The sequence below is a fragment of the Homo sapiens genome, chromosome 1 (genome assembly GCF_000001405.40).
Source record: "Homo sapiens chromosome 1, GRCh38.p14 Primary Assembly".
NCBI classification, from domain to species: Eukaryota; Metazoa; Chordata; class Mammalia; order Primates; family Hominidae; genus Homo; species Homo sapiens.
This window is the reverse complement of record NC_000001.11, coordinates 89,127,155-89,152,512: the sequence shown is the minus strand read 5'-3', so window position 1 is coordinate 89,152,512 and position 25,358 is coordinate 89,127,155. Positions and strand designations below refer to the sequence as shown.

Below are 25,358 nucleotides of genomic sequence, written 5' to 3'. Positions count from 1 at the left end.
GTGGAAATGATGGTGTAGGGTGCTATCCTTCCTTAGCTGAGATCCCAGCTACGTGACTGAGCTAACAGAGCTAATCAGGGCAAAATCGTGCCCCAGACCTGATGAAGTTGAGGACTCCAGCGAGTTTGTGAGTTTCTTTCCAGACTTTATTTGGACTGTTCGAGATTTTACCCTGGAGCTGAAGTTAGATGGACACCCCATCACAGAAGATGAGTACCTGGAGAATGCCTTGAAGCTGATTTCAGGTATCAGAGCATGGCCTAGATGGGAGAAGGTTCAGTAGCGGGTGGGATCAACTAGGACCTACCGTTCAACACCTGACACAAATTTTTATATTGGACTGGATTGAGGCCCTTGCTCATGGTGGTTGGTGATTGATAAGTGATTATGATTTTTGTGGTTATTTTTGCTTGAAATTTCCCAGAGGCTGAGGTTCAAATTCATTGAGGAAATTTAAATCTCAAAGTTCTATCAAATGATTTTAGACCAATAAGTACCATGAAAAATATATTGAGGATTACAATTAGTATTATCACATCCTAAGACTCATATATTTGTGTTACTTATTAACTTCAAGTGCTCCTCCTATTCTATTTGGAGAAAATTAACTAATAAGCTTGGAAGCTGGTAAACACAGAATCGCAAGAAGTCAAATGATCCAATTTTGGAAATATATTTCACTCAGTCTATTTTATTAGCCTGGATACTTATAACCTTTAGAGAAAAAGGAGATTCATACAGTTAATGATTCAGGAAATTAAAAAAAAAATACACAGACATATGCTTCCAGTAGGACTGTCAAATCCTTTATTTTACCATTTTCATAACATCACCTACTTCATTCTACAGTCTCATATAATATGTTGTCAATCTATTATACATTTGTTAAACAGATTATATTTAGTGGAGTGGATACCTGTTGGCACCTACAATCAATATCCATCTTTGTTCATTTGTTCATCCTTTCAACAAATATTTGTTTTGAATAACTGATATATGTCACAGAATCCCTCTGCAAGACAATGTTAGACCTAATATAATCTGACCTGAGTATTTTCCGTCTCTTTCAAACATTTTTCCCAGCCACATCTTGTCCTTGTTTCTAGCATTTAAATTTTAAGCCCAACATTTCATTTCTGACATGGGGACAGTAAGATTGAGAAAGTCCATGATGCTATGTAATATTAGCCAGAAACAGGAAGAAAAATATGACAGGACCTCATTTCTATATGGATTCTATTTCAAAACGTCAAATACATAGAAACAGAGAGTAGAACAGTGGTTACCAGGGCATGGTGAGGGAGGAAATGAGGACATGTGGGTGAAGGGTACAAACTTGAAGTTATATAGGGTGGGAAAGTCTAGGGCTCTAATATACTGCAGGAGAACTATCCTTAACAATATTGTATTTTACATTTAAAATTTACAGAGATTAGATTTTAGGTACTCTTACCACAAAAAAAGGGAAGAAAAGTATAGAAAGTATTGGATATATAATTTGCTTACTTAGTAGTAATTTCACTATGTACATGTATATCGAAACATCATGTTATAACGCCTTAAATATATACAATTTTTAAAGAAAGTACTTCTTATCATATTTTAGTTAATCATAATTCAACAAACATTTTAAAAATCGTCAGTCTACGGGACATCATACAGTGGCTGAGGAAACCAACCACAAATTCCTTCACTTGAGGTGGATGCATTCCCTTCATTTCCAGAAGTACCTTTTTGACTCTGCTTTGTGCAGAAATTGACTTTTCATACCTTAAGTAGATTAGCATAAGTTTGGTTGCATGAGAGGTTTGATTACATAGAGTAGATTCACAGACACAAGAGACTGTAGTGATTGATGGAAGGAACTTTGGAAATGAAAATCTTCAGGCTCACTTAAAACCTGTTCTTCAGTAGTCACTTTTTCACTAATTCTGCAGGCAAGAATCCCCAAATCCAAAATTCTAACAAGCCCAGGGAGTGGATCAGGCATTTCTTTCCAAAACAGAAGTGCTTTGTCTTTGACCGGCCAATAAATGACAAAAAACTCTTACTCCATGTTGAAGAAGTACGAGAAGACCAACTGGATAGTAATTTCCAGATGCAATCAGAAAATTTCTGTTCTTATATCTTCACCCATGCAAAGACCAAGACCCTGAGAGAGGGAATCCTTGTCACTGGAAACCGTGAGTCTATTTCCCTATATGGGTGTTTACTGAGGCCTACTGTATCTCAAAAACTAGTAAACTAAGCTTATGAGCACGAACAACTGGTAAGGAGATAACATCTGTGTTATGAGGTGTGGGATAAGTGAAGGATTTTTTCTCAGTGAGGGTATAAAAGCTGTATTGTGAATTTACACAAAACAGAAAGTAAGTAGCATGTCATGAGTTTCTGCAAGCCTATTGAGATTTTGAGATACAAAATTCAGCGTAATCTTATAAACAAAGCTGGCTTCATGAACATGTTACCTGTGCAGTCTTTTAGTGCTCTGTATAGAAAAGAGCTTCTCACAGGGTTTGATGTTCTGGCACTGTCTTAAGTGTTTTTATAAAAGCACCTGCATTTACATTCAGAATTATGATCCACAAATGATATAATTTACTTTGCTGAATAAACGCTTTTAAATTTTTACTTAAGCAGAAAAGTTTTTTTTTTTCAAGAAACCCTTGCTACATATTGTTTGTGATTAGTAATTAACTTTGTAATGTGATGAGCTGGAGAACAAAATAGAAAGAATAAATAGGAACAACAGTCATGTTATCGTAGGAAAGTGACTCCATAAAAAGTAGTAGTAGTAATAGTAGAATTGAAAGAAGGAGAAGGAGGGAAAATTCATGTTAAATGGAATTTTTTCTGATTTTTAGAATGCTGATACATACCACTCGTAAAACAATGAGTGAAAACTTTCTATCTATTCCCTAAATTTCCTAAATCATTCAGGGCTGGGGATGCTGGTGGAGACCTACCTGGATGCCATCAACAGTGGAGCGACTCCTTGTCTGGAGAATGCAATGGCAGTTCTGGCCCAGTGTGAGAACTCAGCAGCCGTGCAGAGGGCAGCCAACCACTACAGCCAGCAGATGGCCCAGCAAGTGAGATTCCCCACAGACACACTCCAGGAGCTGCTGGACGTGCATGCAGTTTGTGAGAGGGAAGCCATTGCAGTCTTCATGGAGTACTCCTTCAAAGATAAAAGCCAGGAATTTCAGAAGAAGCTTGTGGTAATCTTTGTTATTTTTTTTTTTCTTGATTCCTGCCTTTCTGGAATGATACTTATAGTCCACCTTTTTAATGCCATGGTTCATCTCCTTCTTGTAGTAAAGGGAGATTGGATTATTTTATGTGACTGAATTTAATGGGCTACAGTTTTTTATTTTTCTAAAATATGGGAAATTTATTAATTTTCTATCATGCATAAGAAATTATGATTGTAGCACATTTAACAACACATTTATACAACATACTAACTACATTTAATAACAATGTATTGCATTCTTGAAAATTACTTAGAGAATAGTATTTAGAATGACAAATATTTGAGTTAATATATATGTTAATTAGCTTGATTTAGTAATTTCATAATCCATACAAGTTAAACAGAATTCTTGTACAGATTATGTTACATTTCAAAATAACCTGATGTAAGCATTATACATATAGAATTTTTTTTTATTTTAAAAAGGTAAAATAAAGAAGCACTTGCCTGACTGAGTGTGGAAAAAATGCCTAAGCTCACAGCTCCGTAAGTCAGAAGTTCTTTTTAGGGCATCTGTGTGCTCCACTCAGTGTATCACAAGCTGAAAACAAGGTGTTGATTGAGCTTACTTCTTACCTGTATGCTCAGGGGAACCTCTCTCCATCTTCAAGTCAGCAATAATGCATCAAATGTTTCTCTTGTTTCTAATTTCTCTGGCTTCCTCTTCTGCCTCAAGGTAAACAAAAAAGCTCTGCTTTCAAAGAGCTCATGTAATTTGGTAATTCTTAAATACTTTCTTGAGTGTACTCAGTACTACTTGAATACTCTCCATTTCTAAAGTCAACAGATATCATATAATGTTACCTAAACACTGGAGTACACTCCATCATATTAATAAGCCCAGGGACTATGGATAGTGTGGAAACCTCGGAGGGGAAATCCTGGGGGATATCTTAAATCTGCCATTGGCACTGTTATTGAATAGCCTTCTTTCAGTCTGTCTATTACCAGTCCACAAGTGACAGAAATCCCTTAGTACATATTGAGAAAACCCAGATGCAATCATAGCTTAGAAGTGTAAGCAAAAGATAATAATGTTCCCATATCTTCACATTTTAAGATCCTTTTTGGAAGAATTTCAAAAGAGTTCCAAGCTCTGTTCAGGGTACAATCAAGTCATTACTGGGATGTGATTATCCAGAAGGGTTGATTTTCTGTGTGCACATTTTATCCATAGCAATCTGTGTTCTCTAAGGACACTACTACTGCCACAACTGAATTGTCCCTTGCTTGTTGTTTATAGTTAGATCACTGTTAATCATACTTTTGCTGAAGGAAAGATAGAGTTCATGAACTTTCTACAGGTCATGCAGAGAATTGACCAGAACTGGAACTAAAACAAGTCTTCTGACTCTTAGTCTACACCGTAACTCAGCCTGCTCTGAGGCCATGAGACTACTTCTTCCAAGAGGATCACAGTTGGACCTTCCCTTCTAACAGCTTCTTTCTACTGTTTTTCCCTACACTTTTCTGGCAGGACACCATGGAGAAAAAGAAGGAAGACTTTGTGCTGCAGAATGAAGAGGCATCTGCCAAATATTGTCAGGCTGAGCTTAAGCGGCTTTCAGAGCTCTTGACAGAAAGTATTTCAAGAGGAACTTTCTTTGTTCCGGGGGGGCACAATATCTACTTAGAAGCAAAAAAGAAGATTGAACAGGACTATACACTAGTGCCCAGAAAAGGAGTTAAGGTGAGGAATAAGGGGAGAAGGGGATGGATGACAGAGGATAGTCAGAGGGTCTTCGTTGCCTCTTCTGAAAATCTAAGAACACAGCACCATTTATCGACAAAAATTGAAGCATGGCAATACCTTGATATTTTAAATCTTAAAATCCACAATTATTTAGCTACTCTTACTAAAACAGAACTATTTTTTTTCCCAAAGAGGATTTAGAATCAGAAGTCCGGATGAAACAAACCATTTCTTTTATTTATCAAATAATGTGATAGTTTTTGTGCTAAGTACAGAAATACACTATGAAAGGAAAAACTTTGTTTTCAGAATCTTACGATTTTACACAAGATGGACAAATTAATACTCATTGGATATGGTGTGATTGTGGTTATCATATTGGTATACATTGATAGGGGTGATAATGATGGTGATGATGAAATGAATGGTTCATAGACATTGAGCATTCATTTTGTGTATCAGATATTATTTTAGGTGATTTTGTTGGATTATCAATTTCATTCTAATAATGTAAATTAGTTACTACTATCTTCCACATAGGCAATTGAGAAATGTGAATGCATGGAGAGGCTAATAAATTTCCTATGACACAATCACCAAGTGGTGGAGCTGATGGGCTGATCTATGTACTTGAACGCCACTGGAAACTCAGGATTTTCCTTTTTGAAGAAACTGTCCTGTGTTCTATGATGACTATACTAATTTACTTTCCTATACTAATTTCCTCCCAACGGTGTCTAAGGGTTCCCTTTTCTCCACATCCTTGCCAACGCTTGTTATCTTTTGACTTTTTGATAATCATCATTCTGTGTGAGGTGATATCTCATTATGGTTTTTCATTTGCATTTCTCTGAAGATTAGTGATGCGGAACATGCTTTCACATACTTGATGGCCATTTAAATGTCTTCTTTTGAGGGATGTCTGTTCAGGTCTTTTGCTCATTTTTTTAAAAATCAGTTTTGTTGTATTTTGTTTTGTTGTGTTGCTATTGAGTTATATGAGCTCATTATATATTTTGGATATTAAGCACTTATCAGATATATGGTTTGCAAATATGTTCTATTCTGTATGTTGCCTTTTCTTTTTTCCTTTCTTTGTTTTTTCATTGAGTGGTAACTTAGTTTGATGTAGTCCCACTAGTTTCTTTTAGCACTTGTTTCCTGTGCTCTTGGTGTGAAATTCAAAAATATCATTGCCAAGACCAGTGTCAAGGAGTATTTCCTGGGTTTTCTCTTAGGAGTTTTACAGTCTCTGGTCTTATGTTCAAATCTTTAACCAATTTTTAGTTGACATTTGTGTGTAGTACAAGGGTCCAGTTTTCCCACCACCATTCCACCATTTATTAAAGATACTATCTTTTTCTCATGGTGTACTCTTGACACATTTTTTTGAAAAGTCTTTGACTGTAAATGTGTGGGTTTGTTTCCTGGCTCTCTATTCTGTTCCATGCAGTTAGATGTCTCTTTATGCCAGCATTACACTACTTGATACCTTTGTAGTAGATTTTGAAGTCAGATAGTATGATGCCTTTGGCTCTGTTTTTCTTGTTTTGGCTATTTGGGGTCTTTTATGGTTCCATATGAATTTTATAATTGGTTTTCTTACTGCTGTGAAAAAACACCATTGGAATTTTGATAGAAATTGTGTAAACCTGTAGATTTTTTTTAGATAGTATGAACATTTTAACAATATTAATTTTTCCAGTCAATGTACATGGAATATCTCTCCATTTATTTTATGTCTTCTTCAGTTAATTTCATCAGCATTTTATGATTGACAGAGTACAAATCTTTTACCTCTTTGGTTACATTTATTTCTAAGCATTTTATAATTTTGATGCTATTATAAATGTGATTTTCTTATTTTTTCATATAGTTTGTTCTTAGTGCATAGAAATGTAGCTGAATTTGTATGCTAATTTTGTATCCTCCAACTTTGCTGAATTTATTAGTTTAACAGCTATTGGTGGACTTCTGGTTGTATTTCCAAAGGAACTAAAGTCACTATCTCAAAGAGATATTTTCACTCCCATGTTCATTGCAGCATAATTTGCAATAGCCAAGACATGAAAACAACCTGTGTCCATCCACAAATGAGCAAGTGAAGAAAATGTGATATATATGCATATCTATATGTAAATATAGATATATAAAATAAAGTATTATTGAATCCTAAAAAGAAAGAAATCCTACCACTGGCGACAACATGAATGAACCTGGAGGACATTATGCTTAGTGAAATCAGCCATTCTTAGAAAGACAAATACTGCATGACGCACCTTTATGTGAAATTATTTAAAAAGAGCGAAAGTCAGCTAGGCACAGTGGCTCACACCTCTAATCCCAGCACTTTGGGAGGCTGAGGCAGGTGGATCACAAGGTCAGGAGATCAAGTCCATCCTGGCCAACATGGTGAAACCCTGTCTCTACTAAAAATACAAAAATTAGCCTGGCATGGTGGTGCATGCCTGTAGTCCCAGCTACTCTGGAGGCTGAGGCAGGAGAATTACTTGAACCTGGGAGGCAGAGGTTGCAGTGAACCGAGATCGCACCACTGCACTCCACCTTGGTGACAGAGCGAGACTCCGTCTCAAAAAAAAAAAAAAAAAAAGAGTGAAAGTCACATTAACAGAGAGTAGAATGGGTGGTTACCAGACAGAGAGGGGTAGGAGGAAAGGGGAAATAGTGATCAGTAGGTACAAACATTCAGTTATAAGATGAGTAAGTTCTGGATGCCTAGTGTATAGCATGGTGACTATAGTTAAAACAATGTACTTTATACTAGAAATTTGCTAAGAGAGTAGGTCCCTTGTGTTCCCACCACACACACACAAAAAAAAGATAACTGCATGAGGTGCAGATATATTAGCTTGATTATAATAATCATTTCACAATGTATACATGTATCAAAATATCATGCTGTTCCTCTTAAACATAATTTTTACTTATCAATCAACTTCAAAAAACTTGTAAAACAAAATTAGAAATTAGCCTATATTATTAAAAAGGGAAAAATAGCACATACTGGTGAGGTTGTAGAGAAAAGGGAACGCTTATACACTGCTAGTGGGATTGCAAATTGTAAATTCCTCTGTGGGAAGCAGTTTGGAGATTTCTTAAAGAACTAAAAATAGAATTATTATTATTATTCAACCCAGCAATCCCATTACTAGGTATACACCCAAAGGAAAATAAAACATTCTACCAAAAAGACACCCACACTCATATGTTTATCACAGCACTATTCACAATAGCAAAGACACAGAATCAACCTATGCGCCCATCAATAGTAGACTGGATTTTTACAATGTGGTGCATATACACCTTGAGACACTATGCAGCCATAAAAAGAATGAAATCATGTCGTTTGCAGAAAAATGGATGCATCTGGAGGCCATTATCCTAAGTGAATTAATGCAGAAACGGAAAACCAAATACTCCATGTTCTCACTTGTAAGTGGGAGCTAAACAATGAATACACATGTACATAAAGACGGGAACAATATACACTGGGGAATACAAGAGGGAGGAGGCAGGGAGGGAAGTAGGGTTGAAAAACGACCTTTGGGGTTCTACATTCACTATCTGGGTGACTGTTTTGACTGAAGCCCAAACCTCAGTATCACGCAATATAGTCATGTAACAAACCTGCATGCGAACCCCATTGATCAAGTTGGGCTATTTGTCTCCACTCAAACCTCATATTGAATTGTAATCCCCAGTGCTGGAGGTGGGGCCTCGTGGGAGGTGTTTGGATCATGGGGGAAGATCCTTTATGGCTTGCTGCTGTCTGTGTGATAGTGAGTTCTCTGGAGGTCTGGTCATTTAAAAGTATGTGGCACCTCCACTCTCTCTCACTCTCTCTTGCTCCTGCTTTTGTCATGTGACATGCAAGCTCCTGCTTCACATTCCACCAGGAGTAAAAGCTTCCTGAAGCCTTACCAGAAGGCATGTTTCCTGTAAAGCCTGCAGAACTATGAGCCCATTAAACCTCTTTGCTTTATAAATTACCCCGAACTTAAAATAAAAGTTAAATAAAAAAAATTAAATGTAGATCCTAACTCTATACCTAAATCATTATTGCTCACTCACCCTAAAACAGTAGTGTCCAAAAAACTATTTTAAATTCAGATCAGATAAAAATAAATAGCTACTTGTAATCCTCCTTGGAAAGATACATATATCAAATCTGAGTATGATTTTTTACTTCATAAGTCACTACCAGTTAAACAGAAAAAAGTGCTTAATTCTGAACTGCAAGGTCCTTTGCATTCTCAGAACAAAGCCTAGTACAGGTCAGGTAATTTCACTTATCTGAGTTTCAATTTCCTCACAAAATGAAAAGAAGGTGACTGTTTAAGAAATCAAAATTCCAAGTGTTGACAAGAATATGAAGCAACTGGAATTCTCACACATTGCTAATGAGGTATAAATCAGAACATCAATTTGGAAAACTGTTTGGTTTTAATTGCTAAAATTGAAAAACAAATACCAAATGACCCAGCAAATCCATTCCTAGATATATACATTCACTTAAAAGACTGGGACAGAAATGGTCACAACAGTATCATTCACAATAGCACCAAACTGAAATTTTACCCTAATGTCCATCAACAATAGAACAAGTAAACTAGTGTATTCACATAATGGCGTACTATATCACAATGAAAGTGAATAAGCTACAATCACACAATAAGAAAAAAAATTACCCAGTCTCAGGTATTTGTAGCAATGCAAGAATGTCCTAATACACCCATGAATCTAAATTTTTTTTGAAAGAAGGGAACAAGGAAAATAACCGTCAAAAAATGCCTAGGTCCTTCCTTCTGTGATGTGCCCCACACACCCAAATTTCAGTCACTAATCACTTATTGGCTGAGGTATTTATGCCTCTTTTTCCTTCCCATGTGTGACTGTTAAGTCTATGCAGTGTTGTATTTTCCTTGATTGGTAATTTCCCATTTTGGACAGCCATGTTACTCCCTTAAAGTTTCAAATTCTTAAAGTTTCTCAGGCCAGGTACAGTGGCTCACACCTATAATCCCAACGCTTTGGAAGGCCAAGGTAGGAGGATTGCTTAAGACCAGGAGATTGAAACCATCCTGAGCAACATGACAGGACTTCCATCTCTACAAAAGTAAAAAATAAAATTAGCCAGCTGCGGTGGCACACATCTGTAGTCCTGGCTATGCAGGAGGCTGAGGCAGCAGCATTCAGCCCGGGAGTTCAAGGTTGAAGTGATAATACCATTGAACTTGTGCTTGGGTGACAGAGTGAGACTGTCTCAAAAGAGAAAAAAAAGTTTCTCAACTGTTCAATTTTCCATTATATTCACCACTACTCCTAAATAGACTAAACAGTTACCTGTTCGGTCTTTTTAAGGTTTTAACTTTTTAAATTAAATTTGAATACATTGTTTACTTTTAATGAACTATTATCAACATTCTTAACAGTGATCAAAAGTAAATAAATAAATAAATAATTAGCCTAGAAAAGCTTCCAGTGAGGTAAGAGCTATTAGGTAAAGTATCAATAGATGTTATCCTAATTTGAAAAGGGTAGGCAGGCCTTCAGGCAAAAGAAAAAAGAAAGCAAATAATGCAAACTATGGAGGATGTGTGTTTGTAGAACTGCATAGAAATCTGGTTGTCTGCACCGGGGGTGGGTGGTGAGCAGCATCCCTGGGAGAAGAGGCTGGACAGGCAGGAGGGAGGCTGCTACACAGGGTTTTCATGTCTCAACAAAGAGCTTGGACTTTTTATTGTGGCTGTGGAAGGAAAGAAACCACTGTGGAATCTTAAGAATAATGTGAAGTTTACAAGGTTAGATTTGTGGCTTTGTTGAACAATAATTTCCTCATCACAAGACAAGATTTCTGCTGCCTGACAGGTCTTTGCTCCTTCTTGGTTCTTCAGGCAGACGAGGTCCTCCAGAGCTTCCTGCAGTCACAGGTGGTTATAGAGGAATCCATCCTGCAGTCAGACAAAGCCCTCACTGCTGGAGAGAAGGCCATAGCAGGTACAGGGGCAGGGCTCAGCTCTCAGGCAAATGGGTAGGTTCTTGCAACACTCTCTTGATGTTCAGAAAAAAGGATTTTCCTTATACCAGGAGCTTTCTTCTCATAGGGAACACATGCTCTGCTAAAACTGAAAATAACAAGGGGAGTTGGGATTGAACATCCAGCCACTTAGTTTCTTCCCACAACATTCTTAAACATGCTCTTGCTGACATGGCTAGTGACAGAATTCAGAGATTCTCAATTCCCCACCTTGGTGCTTTTTTCAAAGTCATTTTGGCCTCTGAACTCAGGAGAGTAGAACTCAGACAAGACTGTTACTTTCTTTTTTTTTTTTTCTTTCCAACTTTTATTTTAGGTCCAGAGGGTACACAAATAGGTTTGTTACATGGGTAAATTGTGTCATGGGAATTTGTTGTACAGATTATTTCATCACCCAGATAATGAGCATAGTACCCAATAGGTAGTTTTTCAATCTTTACCCTCTTCCCATCCTCCACCCTCAAGTAGGTCCTGGTGTCTATTGGTCCCTTTGTGTCCATGTGTACTCAATATTTAGTTCCCACTCATAAGTAAGAACATGTGATATTTGGTTTTCTAGTCCTGCATTAATTCCCTTAGAATATTGACCTCCAGCTGCATCCACAGTGCTGCAAAGAACATTATTTCATTCATTTTATGGCTGTGTAGTATTCTAAGGCATATATGTACAACATTTTCATTATCCAGTCCACCACTGATGAACATTTAGGTTGATTCCATGTCTTTGGTATTGGAAATAGTGCACCGATGAACATGCACATTCATGTGTCTTTATGGTAGAATGATTTATTTTCCTTTGGGTATATAAGCAGTAATGGGATTGGTGGGTCAAATGATAGTTCTGTTTTAAGTTCTTTGAGAACTCTCCAAACTGCTTTCCACAGTGGCTGAACTAATTTACAAGCCCACCAGCAGTGTTTAAGAATTCCCTTTTCTTGGCAACCTTGCCAGCATCTGTTATTTTTTTACTTTTTAGTAACAGCCATTCTGACTGGTATGAGATGATATCTCATGTGCTTTCTACCTGCATTTTTCTTTTTTTTTTCAGTTTTTTTTATTATTATTATTATACTTTAAGTTTTAGGGTGCATGTGCACAATGTGCAGGTTTGTTACATATGTATACATGTGCCATGTTGGTGTTCTGCACCCATTAACTCATCATTTAGCATTAGGTATATCTCCTAATGCTATCCCTCCCCCCTCCCCCCACCCCACAACAGTCCCCGGAGTGTGATGTTCCTGTTCCTGTGTCCATGTGTTCTTATTGTTCAATTCCCACCTATGAGTGAGAACATGTGGTGTTTGGTTTTTGTCCTTGCGATAGTTTGCTGAGAATGATGGTTTCCAGTTTCATCCATGTCCCTATAAAGGACATGACTCTTCATTTTTTATGGCTGCATAGTATTCCATGGTGTATATGTGCCACATCTTCTCAATCCAGTCTATCGTTGTTGGACATTTGGGTTGGTTCCAAGTCTTTGCTATTGTGAATAGTGCCGCAATAAACATATGTGTCCATGTGTCTTTATAGCAGCATGATTTATAATCCTTTGGGTATATACCCAGTAATGGGATGGCTGGGTCAAATGGTATTTCTAGTTCTAGATCTCTGAGGAATCGCCACACTGACTTCCACAATGGTTGAACTAGTTTACAGTCCCACCAACAGGGTAAAAGTGTTCCTATTTCTCCACATCCTCTCCAGCATCTGTTGTTTCCTGACTTTTTAATGATCGCCATTCTAACTGGTGTGAGATGGTATCTCATTGTGGTTTTGATTTGCATTTCTCTGATGGCCAGTGATGATGAGCATTTTTTCACGTGTTGTTTGGCTGCATAAATGTCTTCTTTTGAGAAGTGTCTGTTCATATCCTTCACCCACTTTTTGATGGGGTTGTTTTTTTCTTGTGAATTTGTTTGAGTTCATTGTAGATTCTGGATATTAGCCCTTTGTCAGATGAGTAGGTTGCAAAAATTTTCTCCCATTTTGTAGGTTGCCTGTTCACTCTGATGGTAGTTTCTTTTGCTGTGCAGAAGCTCTTTAGTTTAATTAAATCCCATTTGTCAATTTTGGCTTTTGTTGCCATTGCTTTTGGTGTTTTAGACATGAAGTCCTTGCCCATGCCTATGTCCTGAATGATATTGCCTAGGTTTTCTTCTAGGGTTTTTATGGTTTTAGGTCTAACATCTAAGTCTTTAATCCATCTTGAATTCATTTTTGTATAAGGTGTAAGGAAGGGATCCAGTTTCAGCTTTCTACATATGGCCAGCCAGTTTTCCCAGCACCATTTATGAAATAGGGAATCCTTTCCCCATTGCTTGTTTTTGTCAGGTTTGTCAAAGATCAGATGGTTGTAGATATGTGGCATTATTTCTGAGGGCTCTGTTCTGTTCCATTGATCTATATCTCTGTTTTGGTGTTGAGCATTTTTTCATATGCTTGCTGGCCATGTGTATGTCTTCTTGGATAAATGTCTGTTAATGTCCATTGCCCATTTTTTAATGGGGTTGTTTGCTTTGTTCTTAATTTCTTTAACTTCCTTATAGATTCTGGATATTAGACTTTTTTCAGATGCATAGTTTGCAGATATTTTCTCCCATTCTGTAGGTTGTCTGTTTACTCTGTTTATAGTTTCCTTTGTTGTGCATGAACTCTTTAGTTGAATTAGGTCCCTCTTGTTAACTTTTTGTTCGGTTGCAGTGGCTTTTGAAGTTTTCATCAGGAAATCTTTGCCAGTGCCTATGTCCAGAATGGTATTTCCTAGGTTTTCTTTTGGTGGTTTTATAGTTTTAAATTTTACATTTACATCTTTAACTCATCTTGAGTTGATTTTTGTATATAGTGAGAAGAAGGGGTCCAGTTTCAATCTTCTGCATATAGCTAGCCAGTTAACCCAGCACCATTTATTGAATAATGCATTCTTTCTCCATTGCTTTTTTTGTTAGCTTTACCAAAGATCAGATAGTTGTAGGTGTGTGGTATTATTTCTGCTTTCTTTAAACTTTTCCATTTGTTCATGTGTCTGTTTTGTTTTGTTTTGTTTTTTGACCAGCACCATGCTATTTTGGTTATTGTAGTCTTGTAATATAGTTTAAACTCAAGTCATGTGATGTCTCTGGCTTTGTTCTTTTTGCTTAGGAGTGCCTTGGCTACTCGGGGTTTTTTTGTTGTTGTTGTTCCATGTGGATGTTAGAATAGTTTTTACTAATTCTATTTTTAAAAAGTCATCGATAATTTGATAGGAATAGCATTGAATATGTAAATCAATTTGGGCAGTATGGCTATTTTAACAACATTGATTCTTCCTATCCATATGCATGAAATAATTTTCCATTTGTTTGTGCAGTCTCAGATTTCTTTCAGCAGTGTTTTATAATTCTCATTGTAGAGATGCTTCACCTCCCTGATTGGCTGTAAACCTAGGTATTTTATTCTTGGTTATTCACAATAGCTATTGTGAATAGGATTGTGTTCTCGGTTTGACTTTCAGCTTGGACATTATTGGTGTGTAGAAATGCTACTTATTTTTGTACATTTACTTTTTTATCCTGAAACTTTGCTGATGTTTATCAGATGGATGAGACTTTGGGCAGAAATTATGGAGTTTTCTAACTACAGAATTCTATTGTCTATGAAGAGAGAGAGTTTGACTTCCTCTCTTCCTATTGGATAACTTTTTTTTTCCCCTTTGCCTGATTTCTCTGGCTAGGACTTCCAGTACTATGTTGAATAAGAGTTGTTGAGAGTGGGCATCCTTGTCTGTTTTTGGTTCTCAAGTGAAATGTTTCCAGCTTTTTCACATTCAGTATGATGTTGGCTGTGGGTTTTTCATAGATGGCTTTTATTATTTTGAGGTATGTTCCTTTGAGGCCCAGTTTGTTGAGATATTTTAACATGAAATATTGAATTTTATCAAAAGCCTTTTCTGTGCCCATTGAGAAGATCATCTGGTTTTTGTTCTGAGTCCCGTTTGTGTGAGGAATCAATTTATTATTAGCATATGCTGAATCAACCTTGCATTCCAGGAATAAAGCCTAATTGACAGTGGTGGGTTCGCTTTTTAATGTGCTGCTGGATTTGGTTTGCTAGTATTTTGTTGAAGATTTTTTCATCCATGTTCATCAGGAATATTGTCCTGCATTTTTCTTTTTTTGTTGTGTCTCTGCCAGGTTTTTAAAATCAGAATGATGCTGGCCTCATAGAATGTATTAGGAAAGATTCCCTGCTCCCCATTTTTTTTGGAATAGTTTAGTAGAATTGGTACCAGCTCTTCTTTCTATGTATGGCAGAACTGACTATGACTCTGTCTGGTCTAGGGCTTTTTCTGCTTGGTAGGCTTTTTAATGCTGACCCAATTTTGGAACTTGTTATTAGTCTGTTCCAGGTTTCAATTTCTTCCTGGTTCACTTTTGGTAGGTTGTATGTTTCCAGGAATTTATCCATTTCTTCTAGGTTTCTTAGTTAGTGTGCATAGTGGTGTTCATAATAGTCTCTCAGGATTTTTTGTATTTCTGTGGAGTTGATAGCAATGTCCCTTTTGCCATTTTTTTATTGTGTTTATTTGGATCTTCTCTTTTTTTGTTCTTTTTTAGTCTAACTAGAAGTATATCCATCTTATGTATTTTTCCAGAGAACCATTGGTTTCATTGATCTTTTGTATGGTTTTTCTTGTCTCCACTTTATTCACTTCAAGTCTGATTTTGGTTATTTCTTGTCTCAGCTAGCTTTGTGCTTGGTTCACTTTTGTTTTTCTAGTTCCTCAAGGTGTAATGTTAGATTGTTAATTTGAGATATTTCTAACTTTCTACTGTAGTCGTTTAGTGCTATTAACATTCCTCTTAACACTGCTCTAGTTGTGTCTCAAAGATTCTGGTAGGTTGTATCTTTGTTTTCATTAATTTCAAATAATTTATTTCTGCCTTAAATTCACTGTTTACCCCAAAATCATTCAGAAGCAGATTAATTAATTTTCATGTAATTGTATAGCTTTGAGAGATATTCTTTGTATTGATTTCTATTTTTACAGCATTGTGGTCTGACAGCATTGGTATGATTTGGGTTTTTTTTTTATTTGTTGAGAATTGCTTTATGGCAGAGCAAGGAGTCAATTTTAGAGTATGTGCCATGTGCAGATGAGATGAATGTATATTCTGTTATTGTTGGGTGGAGTGTTCTGTAGATGTCTGTTAGGTCCATCTGGTCAAATGTCAAGTTAGGTCCTGAATATCTTCGTTAGTTTTTTGCCTCAATGATCTGTCTAATATTGTCAGTGGAGTGTTGAAGACTCCAACTATTATTGTGTGGTTATCTAAGTCTCTTCATAGGTCTCTTTGAACTTGTTTTATGAATCTAGGGTCCTCTAGTATTGGGTGCATACATATTTAGTATAATTAAGTCTTCTCGTTGAATTGAAACTTTTATCATTATGTAATGCCCATCTTTATCCTTTTTGATCATTATTGGTTTGGAGTCTGTTTTGTCTGAAATAAGAATAGCAACCCCTGCTCTTTTTGTTTTCCATTTGCTTGATAGATTTTTCTTCATCCCTTTACTTTGAGCCTATTGGTGTAATTGCATATGAGATTGGTCTCTTGAACATCGAAGACAGTTGGGTCTTATTTCTTTATGCAACTTGCCACTCTGTGCCTTTTAATTGGGGTTGTTAGCCCTTTTACAGTCAAAGTTAATATTGATATGTGTGGATTTGATCCACACTTGATTGTGTTATTGCTCTGTAGTGTCAATGATCCATGTACTGAAGTGTGCTTTTGTAGTGGCTGATAATGGTCTTTCATTTTCATGTTTAATGCTCTTTTCAGCAGCTTGAGTAAGGCAGGTCTGGTGGTAACAAATTCCCTTAGCATTTGCTTGTCTAAAAAGGATTTTTTTTTTCTTATGAACCTTAGTTTGGCTGGATATGAAATTCTTCCTTGGAATTTCTTTTCTTTACAAATGCTGAATATAGGTCCCCAGTCTCTTCTGGCTTGTAGGGTTTCTTCTGAAAGTTCCACTGTTAGCTTGATGGGATTCCCTTTGTAGAAGACCTGCCCCTTTTCTCAAGCTGCCTTTAATATTTTTTCTTTTGCACTGACCTTGGAAAATCTGATGACCATTTCATGTGTTGGGGATGGTCATCTTGTATAGGATCTCACAGGGCTTCTCTGATTTCCCGAATTTGAATGTCAACCTCTCTAGTGAGGTTGGGGAAATTTTCATGGGCATTATCCTCAAATATGTTTTCCAAATTGCTTGCTATCTCTCCCTTTCACGGGTGCCAATGAGTCATAGGTTTGGTCTCTTTATGTAATCTCATATTTCTCTGAGATTTTGTTCATTCTTTTTTATTCTTTTTTCTTTATTTTTGTTTGACTAAGTTGATTTGAAAAATGGGTTTTTGAGCTCTGAGATTATTTCCTCATCTTGGTCTATTCTACATTTAATACTCTGATTGTATTATGAAATTCTTGTAGCATGTTTTTCAGCTCTATCAAATCAGTTTGGCTCTTTTTTAAAATGGCTATTTCATCTTTTAGTTCTTGAGTCATTTTACTGAATTCCTTCAGTTCCTTGGACTGTATCTCAACTGTCTCCTAAATATCGATAATCTTCATTGCCATCCAGATTCTGAATTCCATATCTACTATTTCAGCCATTTCAGTTTGATTAGGAACTATTGCTGAGGAGCTAGTGGACTCATTTGGAGGTAAGAGACACTCTGGTTTTTTGAGTTGCCAGAGTTCTGTCCCTGTTTCTTTCTCATCTGTGTGGGCTGATATTCCTTTAGTCTTTGAAGTGTCTGTTTCTTTCATGGGGTTTTTGGCTTTTATTTTGTTTTATTCTCTTGAAGATTCAACTGGTATAAGTTGGGTTCATCTGACTGGGTTTTTTTTTTTTTTTTCTGGATGATTTCAAGGGGCCAAGGCTCAGATCAGCACTCCTGAGCTGGGGGCTTGAACCTTAGTAGGCTGGGACCAGGCCCATGGCTTTGTTCTCTGGCCCCTCTAGGTTAAGCACCTGCTGTGCTGCAGGGGCCAACTTGCTACTGGTTAACTGGCAACAACACACCGATGAGGAGTGCTGGCAAAAGTACTTTCTCAGAGCAGTGGCAGTGGGGTCCAAGGTCATTGGTGAGCAGCAGCAGCAGGGCAGTAGTGCTGCAGGTTCTGTGCATGTGCATTGGTGGTGGCAGGTTGACAGGGTCTGCACAGGTATGTGTACCAGCAAAGCGGTGGTGAGAGGCTGCAAGCGAGTGTGTGCCAGCAAAACAGTGGGGAGAGGGTGCATTGAGTGCACACTGGTGTGAGCCCATCTGCTGAAGCTCTATGATGGTTAGGTAGGGTATGTCAGCAAAGAAGATATGGTGATGGCTGCTGGGAAGTGCTTCAGTTAGGCATCTGACATTGCACTTTAAGTGGATGCAGCCAGGCAGGGACCATGAGAGAGGCTAGCAGACTGGGAGGTGCTCAGACCATACTGGATCTGTCCCACAGGCAAGATAGCCCAGTTCTATCCAGGACCAATAGTCGACAAAAGCCAAGGCCATGTATCTGGGCATGGCAAGCCTTGGGGGATGGGAGTTCCTGGTTGTGCTCCACTGCAGCCATTCCTGTGCCAAATATCTAGGCTCCACACTGGCCAGAGTCCTGTCCCTACCAAGTCTCCAAGCAGCTCTCTTTGCCAGCTCAAACATCTATGGGAGTTGTGGGGTCTCCTAAAGCTAGGATTTCAGAGGTCCATGGCAAGAGTGGGCCACTTCGCACCAATTTACCTCACCCCTTCCCCAGGAGCTGCTCAGGATTAGGAATGAGTCTTGGTGCTTGGCAACCTGTGCAAGGTTCCCAGCTTCCTCTCCCTTCAGCCTTGGGTCTGCATCCTTCCTTCATCAACTCTCAATGCCTTCCTTCTGAAGTCCTGCTTGGAGTTTATCAGTCTTCTTTACGGTCTGGTCTCTCAGTGGGAGAAGCTCTTCCTGACTCCATCTACTTAGCCATGATGGTTCTTCTCCCACCTGACTGTTATTTTCTTCCCTCTGTAAAACCTCGGTGGAACAGCTAAGCAGGCTAAGAAGGAGGCAGCTGAAAAGGAACAGGAGCTGCTAAGACAAAAACAGAAGGAACAGCAGCAAATGATGGAGGCTCAAGAGAGAAGTTTCCAGGAAAACATAGCTCAACTCAAGAAGAAGATGGAGAGGGAAAGGGAAAACTATATGAGAGAACTGAGAAAGATGTTGAGTCACAAGATGAAGGTGAGTCTGGATGAAGCTTGGCAGTGCTTGAGGCACAATGCCAGTTCCTCATTTAGGGAAGAGCCAAAATTTTAAGCTCAGTCAAGATTTCAGAAGGAAACACAAAAGATATATTTCACTTAAATTTCAAATACATATGAATTCTACTGAAGCCTGTAAGTTTACAAGACTTCAGCACTTTCTGTCATGTTAGACTTTGGAGAGTACACATGACATCCCCCAGGGTGCTGGGCTGCTGTTTGTGGTGATTATAGGATGGTCTCACTGTGCCCCAATTAATTAGGACCTTAGTCCACCAGCCCTTAGGATTCTTGGCACAACCATCAAAAGGACCCAAAATACATCCATCTGGATGAAAGTATCAGATTTGGCTTGATATGAAATGATACTGAATGATCTCAAATTGCTCCATTTGTTTCTGTATCTGCCTGACTCATCCTATACAACTAGAGTAAAACATATTCCTTGTCCCAAACTGGAGCTTGACAACCAGTGTTTTATACAGGGTCAGCAGTCCCCATTATTTGCTAGATGAGCATGGCCTTGCTATATCGGTGGAAAGGGGAATCAATTAGAATTAAATCTGCATTCCCTCTCAAAGGGCATTCATTGTGCTGGAACAAAATTCCTCCCCACCTCCAGTGAGATGGTGCTGAGGAAATGTCACAAAGGTGTATATCATGGATACTCCCCTTATTTAGGTCCAGTCATCTGGAAATGTCAGACCAACTCATCAAAGATTTTCTAAGATGTTAGAGAAATGGACACATGTTTAACTAATGAAATTGTTAAATACAAACCTCGGTCTCTTAAAAATTGGGGATTTTCAAAAGTAGGCTCTTTTACTTTTATAGGTCCTAGAAGAACTGCTTACTGAAGGATTTAAAGAGATATTTGAGTCGTTAAATGAAGAGATTAATCGACTGAAAGAACAAATTGAAGCAGCTGAAAATGAAGAGCCCTCAGTGTTTTCACAGATTCTTGATGTGGCTGGCAGTATATTTATTGCAGCACTACCTGGGGCTGCTAAGCTAGTTGATTTAGGAATGAAAATTCTTAGCTCATTATGTAATAGGCTGAGAAATCCTGGTAAGAAAATTATAAGCTGAGGTTTCTTTTGTTAAAATGGTATAACGCTGTTGCTCATTTTAAAAGTATATGTGTTATTGCAGTTTCATTTAAGAAAAGTTTAAAATTAAAAAGCAAATTTCAAAGAATATTATGGCCTGAAGTTCATAAAAACAAACTTAATTTTGACTAAAGTAATAATTAATAGAAATGGGGAACAAGTTAGAAGATAAAATTATTCCTAGAAAAGATTTAAGTAAAGCAAAAGGACAAATGGTAATATAAAGAAATTATTTTCAATTAATGTTATAGTCACAGAGATAATTTAAGTTATAATTAGCTCTTGCAAATCAGTGAGAAGAGAGTAACGCCACATATTTTAAACAGGCAAAAATATGATAATAAAAATGTTTAATTTTACTGACAATAAAAGTTGTGCAAAGAAAAACTATGAGGTTCTTGCTTCAATTTATCATGGGCTTGAAAGAACAGTTTGACAGGGCACTGAGCTGGCAAGGGTTTGAGGATATTGTCAGTGTCTCATATTTGCTAGTGAGAGTGTGAACTGTTGGAATCATATATGAAATATTTAAGTGCACATACCTTTGATCTAGCATTTCCACATTTAGAAATCTATCATATAGATTGATTTACTCAAATTGAAAATGGTATATATAAAATAGTACTTATGTTGCAGCATTGTTGTAATGCCAAAAGACTGAAAAAAACATTAAAGCCCCTCTTTCAGGTACTGATAAGGGAAATCTTGGGAAACACTCATAAAGGAATACTCTACAGCCACTAAAATGAAGGGAGAAGCTCTATTTGAACTAACAATGACAAGTCTCCAAGATGTATCATAAGTAAAAAAAAAAAATGATGCACGAAGCATGTATAATTACTACCACTGAATTTAGAAAATAATAAATGTATGCATATATTATTATCTCCTTCTGGAAAAATAGAAAATTATCTAGTATACATGGTCACAGCAGGAATGAACCTGAATAGTTGAGGTGAGAAATTAGAAAATAACTCATTTCACATCATATATTCTTCTGTGCCTTTTTTTAATAAAAATTGATTACATTAATGTTATATTTATTATCTTTGTTGAGTGCTTTAGGTTAACAAATACAGATTTCCTTTAGTTCTTACTATAACCTTGAAAGGCAAATGTTATTATCTATGGATAATAAAAGGAAGATAGTGAGATTAATCTATTTGCCCAAGATCATCCGTTAGGTTGCCAAGTTATGACCTCAACTTGTGTTTCATAACTCCAAATCCACTACATAGACTCTATTATCAAGGACTGGAATAATCAGTCTTAAAGTGGGTTGTCAGACATATCAAAAGCAAAACAAAGATAAGATTGTCAAGATGAACACAAATATAATATACTTAGTTGAAAAAAAGGATACATTAAAGGATTTTAAACTACTTAGAAAGTCTTACTTTCTTGTATTCCATATAGGGAGCTCCATTTAGTTATAAAGAATTGCTGCCACAGCATGGATTTGATCTTTGATCTGATTTGTTCAAGATTTTGGGAGGCCAAGCAGTGATTGCAAATTCTTATGAAAATCTCTTGTTCTTTCCTCTTCCAAGGCATTATGAAGCCAGAAGGAAGCTCCTCTGATGTGTGCACTCCAGAAGTCTTTCACTCTTTTGTCAATATGGTTTTGTCACACTCTCTTGAGTCTTTCTATGCATTTGTCCTCTTCGCGCAGGCAGCATTAACCAGGGTGACCTCAGCACCATAGTAAATTACATTCTATTGTAGCACCTCTACCAGCACCGCAAGCACATAGCCTCCACCTCCATCCAGCCTCTCAGGGAGCCGAAAGCAGTTTCTATATACTAATCCACCAAAAAAAAAATCATACTTCGTGATCTTCTGTGTCTTTAATATTTTATACGAACTTATTATTGATATGTATTTAAACATGGACAAAAATTATTACTAAAATTAAAAAGGAAATAATAATGAATGGATGGGAGAGTTCCCATGATAGGAAGAAAGTGATTAATACCACTAGAAATAGCATAAGTCAGCTCAACAGGAAAAGCTTGCTCATCAGAACAAGGAACTAAAAAGGGCACAAGACATGCATCCTAATTTCGTTTTTATTGTGACCTTTCAATAAAGATTTCAAAGTTTATTCCAAAGTATACTTTCAGATACAAAGTCCCCTGGGATGTTGCTTGGAATGGTCTCTAAATGCTGTCCCATATTTATAAGACGATGAAGTAGAAGGAAATTTTTTTTTTCAACTCAACATTTTAGGAATTTGTTTTGGCTTTCTAGTTCTCAGTACTTGAATGAACTCGAATGAACTCCTTATAAGTCCATAAGCTGGGCATATTCTCTTGACTGAGGGCCTTTGCAAAAGGGGCAAAGATTTCTTAAAACCCTGCTTCCTCACACTATATCTGTTATTTCTCAGCCCCCGCTCATCCTTAAAGTGTCCTACTTCCTAAATTTCCAAGGCTGGATGAGATGCCCTTCCCAGTTTTGCCATGGCACCATCTTGTCACTCCTACCATTGAAGATGTTATATAATTGTAACATTGAAAATGCCTATTTACACCCGTCTACCACCTTTGATCTCAGGAGCTAGGTCTTCTTCATCAACTTAGGTTTAGTTCCAAGCACAAAACCCACCACATAAGCTCAGGTGTGAGCTAAGTACATAAGCTACCCTCCAGTATGGCCCCAATTTACCATAACCTCACTGTATTCCCAATTTCTAGAGCTCTCAAAATAAAGGACACAAGTTTAGAAACTAGTGCAGAAGGGAGTCACTGAATTAGAAAGAACATGCACACTTGTCTGAATTTACCCTGTTCTCTCTGAGGGACTGGACACCACATGGCCCCTGTGTTCATCAAGTTTCTCACCTATGATAATCACCCTGGAATGAAGTTACTGCCTTTGGCTCACAGGGCAATTACAATGTTTAGCATAGTGAAGGAAGGGCCAGAAACTTAGAAAAAAGGGCTCTTTTAGCTAATAAACAAGTATTCATCTTTACCCTTAAACTATACATAATTCACAAAGATTCAGTTGTCCCTGGAGCTATTTTATGGTTCCCCGATATAAACGATAGATTTTATTGTTGAGAAGAAAAAAAGCAGCTGATTTCCTAGAATTGCTTCTATTTTGAAATAACCCTGCTCTACTTTCACTTTCATTGTCACCAGTATTCACACACACACACACACACACACGATCTTACTCTCTTCTCTCACTGTTTATTTTTTTCTCTTTCTTTTAGAGACAGCGTGGAACACAGATATAACGTGATATTAATTAAATTGATTTTTCAAGTTAGAATCTCACATAATGACTTGCTAGTTTGAAGTTGCTCAATGGTTTTAGTTAAACATTACTTAATCTCTTTCTCTTTTTCCTCCTTGGACAAAGGGAATAACAAACACCCCATATTTTGAAGCAGTATTGTGTTGTTTAAATAATATATGTAAATAATCTGGCCTAGAAAGTAACTGATAAATAAGAAACGTTATTGTTGTTCACTCACCAAACACAGAGGTATTTTAGTCAAGTTGTTGATAATGACAGGTGACAGCGTGCTGGCAGTCCTCAGAGCCCTCGCTTGCTCTTGGCACCTCCTCTGCCTGGGCTCCCACTTTGGCGGCATTTGAGGAGCCCTTCAGCCCACCACTGCACTGTGGGAGCCCCTTTCTAGGCTGGCCAAGGCCAGAGCCGGCTCCCTCAGCTTGCAGGGAGGTGTGGAGGGAGAGGCGCCAGCGGGAACCGCGGCTGCGTGCGGCGCTTGCGGGCCAGCTGGAGTTCCGGGTGGGCGGGCGTGGGCTTGGCGGCCCAGCACTCGGAGCAGCCGGCCAGCCCTGTTGGCCCTGGGCAATGAGGGACTTAGCACCCGGGCCAGTGGCTGCGGAGAGTGTACTGGGTCCCCCAGCAGTGCCAGCCCACCGGCGCTGCGCTCTATTTCTCACCGAGCCTTAGCTGCGTTCCCGCAGGGCAGGGCTCCGGACCTGCAGCCCGCCATGCCTGAGCCTCCCACCCACTCCATGGGCTCCTGTGCGGCCCCAGCCTCCCCGACAAGCACCACCCCCTGCTCCATGGCGCCCAGTCCCATGGACCACCCAAGGGCTGAGGAATGCGAGCGCACGGCAGGGGACTGGCAGGTAGCTCCACCTGCAGCCCCTGTGCGGGATCCACTAGGTGAAGCCAGTTGGGCTTCTGAGTCTAGTGGGGACCTGGAGAGTCTTTATGTCTAGCTCAGGGATTGTAAATACACCAATCAGCACCCTGTGTTTAGCTCAAGGTTTGTGAGTGCACCAATGGACACTGTGTATCTAGCTGCTCTGGTGGGGCCTTGGAGAACCTTTATGTCTAGCTCAGGGATTGTAAACACACCAATCGGCACTCTGTATCTAGCTCAGGGATTGTAAATACACCAATCGGCACTCTGTATGTAGCTCAAGGTTTGTAAACACACCAATCAGCACCCTGTGTTTAGCTCAAGGTTTGTGAATGCACCAATCGACACTGTGTATCTAGCTGCTCTGGTGGGGCCTTGGAGAACCTGTGTGTCCAAACTCTGTATCTAACTAATGTGATGGGGAGGTGGAGAACCTTTGTATCAAGCTCAGGGATTGTAAACGCACCAATCAGTGCCCTGACAAAACAGGCCACTGGGCTCTACCAATCAGCAGGATGTGGGTGGGGCTAGATAAGAGAATAAAAGCAGGCTGCTGGAGCCAGCATTGGCAACCCGCTCGGGTCCCTTTCCGCAGTGTGGGTGCTTTGTTCTTTTGCTCTTTGCAATAAATCTTGCTACTGCTCACTCTGGGTCCACGCTGCTTTTATGAGCTGTAACACTCACCACGAAGATCTGCAGTTTCACTCCTGAGCCCAGCCAGACCACGAGCCCACTGGGAGGAACAAACAACTCCAGATGCGCGGCCTTAAGAGCTGTAACACTCACCGCGAAGGTCTGCAGCTTCACTCCTGAGCCAGCAATACTACCAACCCACCAAAAGGAAG

General features: G+C 38.4%; 1 protein-coding gene and 1 long non-coding RNA gene across 3 annotated transcripts in view, besides 1 other annotated feature; one reads left to right on the top strand and one right to left on the bottom strand.

Annotated features, from left to right (window-relative positions):
- GBP7 (guanylate binding protein 7) overlaps window positions 1-20,771 on the top strand; it is a 44,262-nt gene extending 23,491 nt beyond the window's left edge. The window contains exons 5-11 of the mRNA NM_207398.3: window positions 49-245; window positions 1,938-2,183; window positions 2,941-3,221; window positions 4,734-4,946; window positions 10,865-10,967; window positions 19,062-19,255; window positions 20,110-20,771. Of these exons, the coding sequence (NP_997281.2) occupies window positions 49-245; window positions 1,938-2,183; window positions 2,941-3,221; window positions 4,734-4,946; window positions 10,865-10,967; window positions 19,062-19,255; window positions 20,110-20,364 (1,489 nt within the window). The 3' untranslated portion in view covers window positions 20,365-20,771. The remainder of the gene's footprint in view (window positions 1-48; window positions 246-1,937; window positions 2,184-2,940; window positions 3,222-4,733; window positions 4,947-10,864; window positions 10,968-19,061; window positions 19,256-20,109) is intronic.
- Window positions 1-24,099, bottom strand: part of LOC105378842 (uncharacterized) — a 51,385-nt gene extending 27,286 nt beyond the window's left edge. The window contains exons 1-3 of one of the 2 annotated variants that reach the window (XR_947579.3): window positions 23,869-24,099; window positions 3,833-3,922; window positions 2,967-3,181 (exon numbers count right to left, since the gene is read on the bottom strand). This is a non-coding gene — a long non-coding RNA (uncharacterized LOC105378842). Of the gene's footprint in view, window positions 1-2,966; window positions 3,182-3,832; window positions 3,927-23,868 lie in introns of both variants that reach the window. The other variant, XR_001737682.2, reaches the window with a different exon arrangement.
- Window positions 2,583-3,782: an enhancer, noted in NCBI's record as "CDK7 strongly-dependent group 2 enhancer chr1:89614414-89615613 (GRCh37/hg19 assembly coordinates)". NCBI's record gives its function as "activates an origin of replication core promoter dependent on BRD2, BRD4, P300/CBP, MED14 and CDK7 cofactors, with strong dependence on CDK7, by STARR-seq in HCT116 cells {active_cell/tissue: HCT116}" and the evidence as "EXISTENCE:reporter gene assay evidence [ECO:0000049][PMID:35650434]".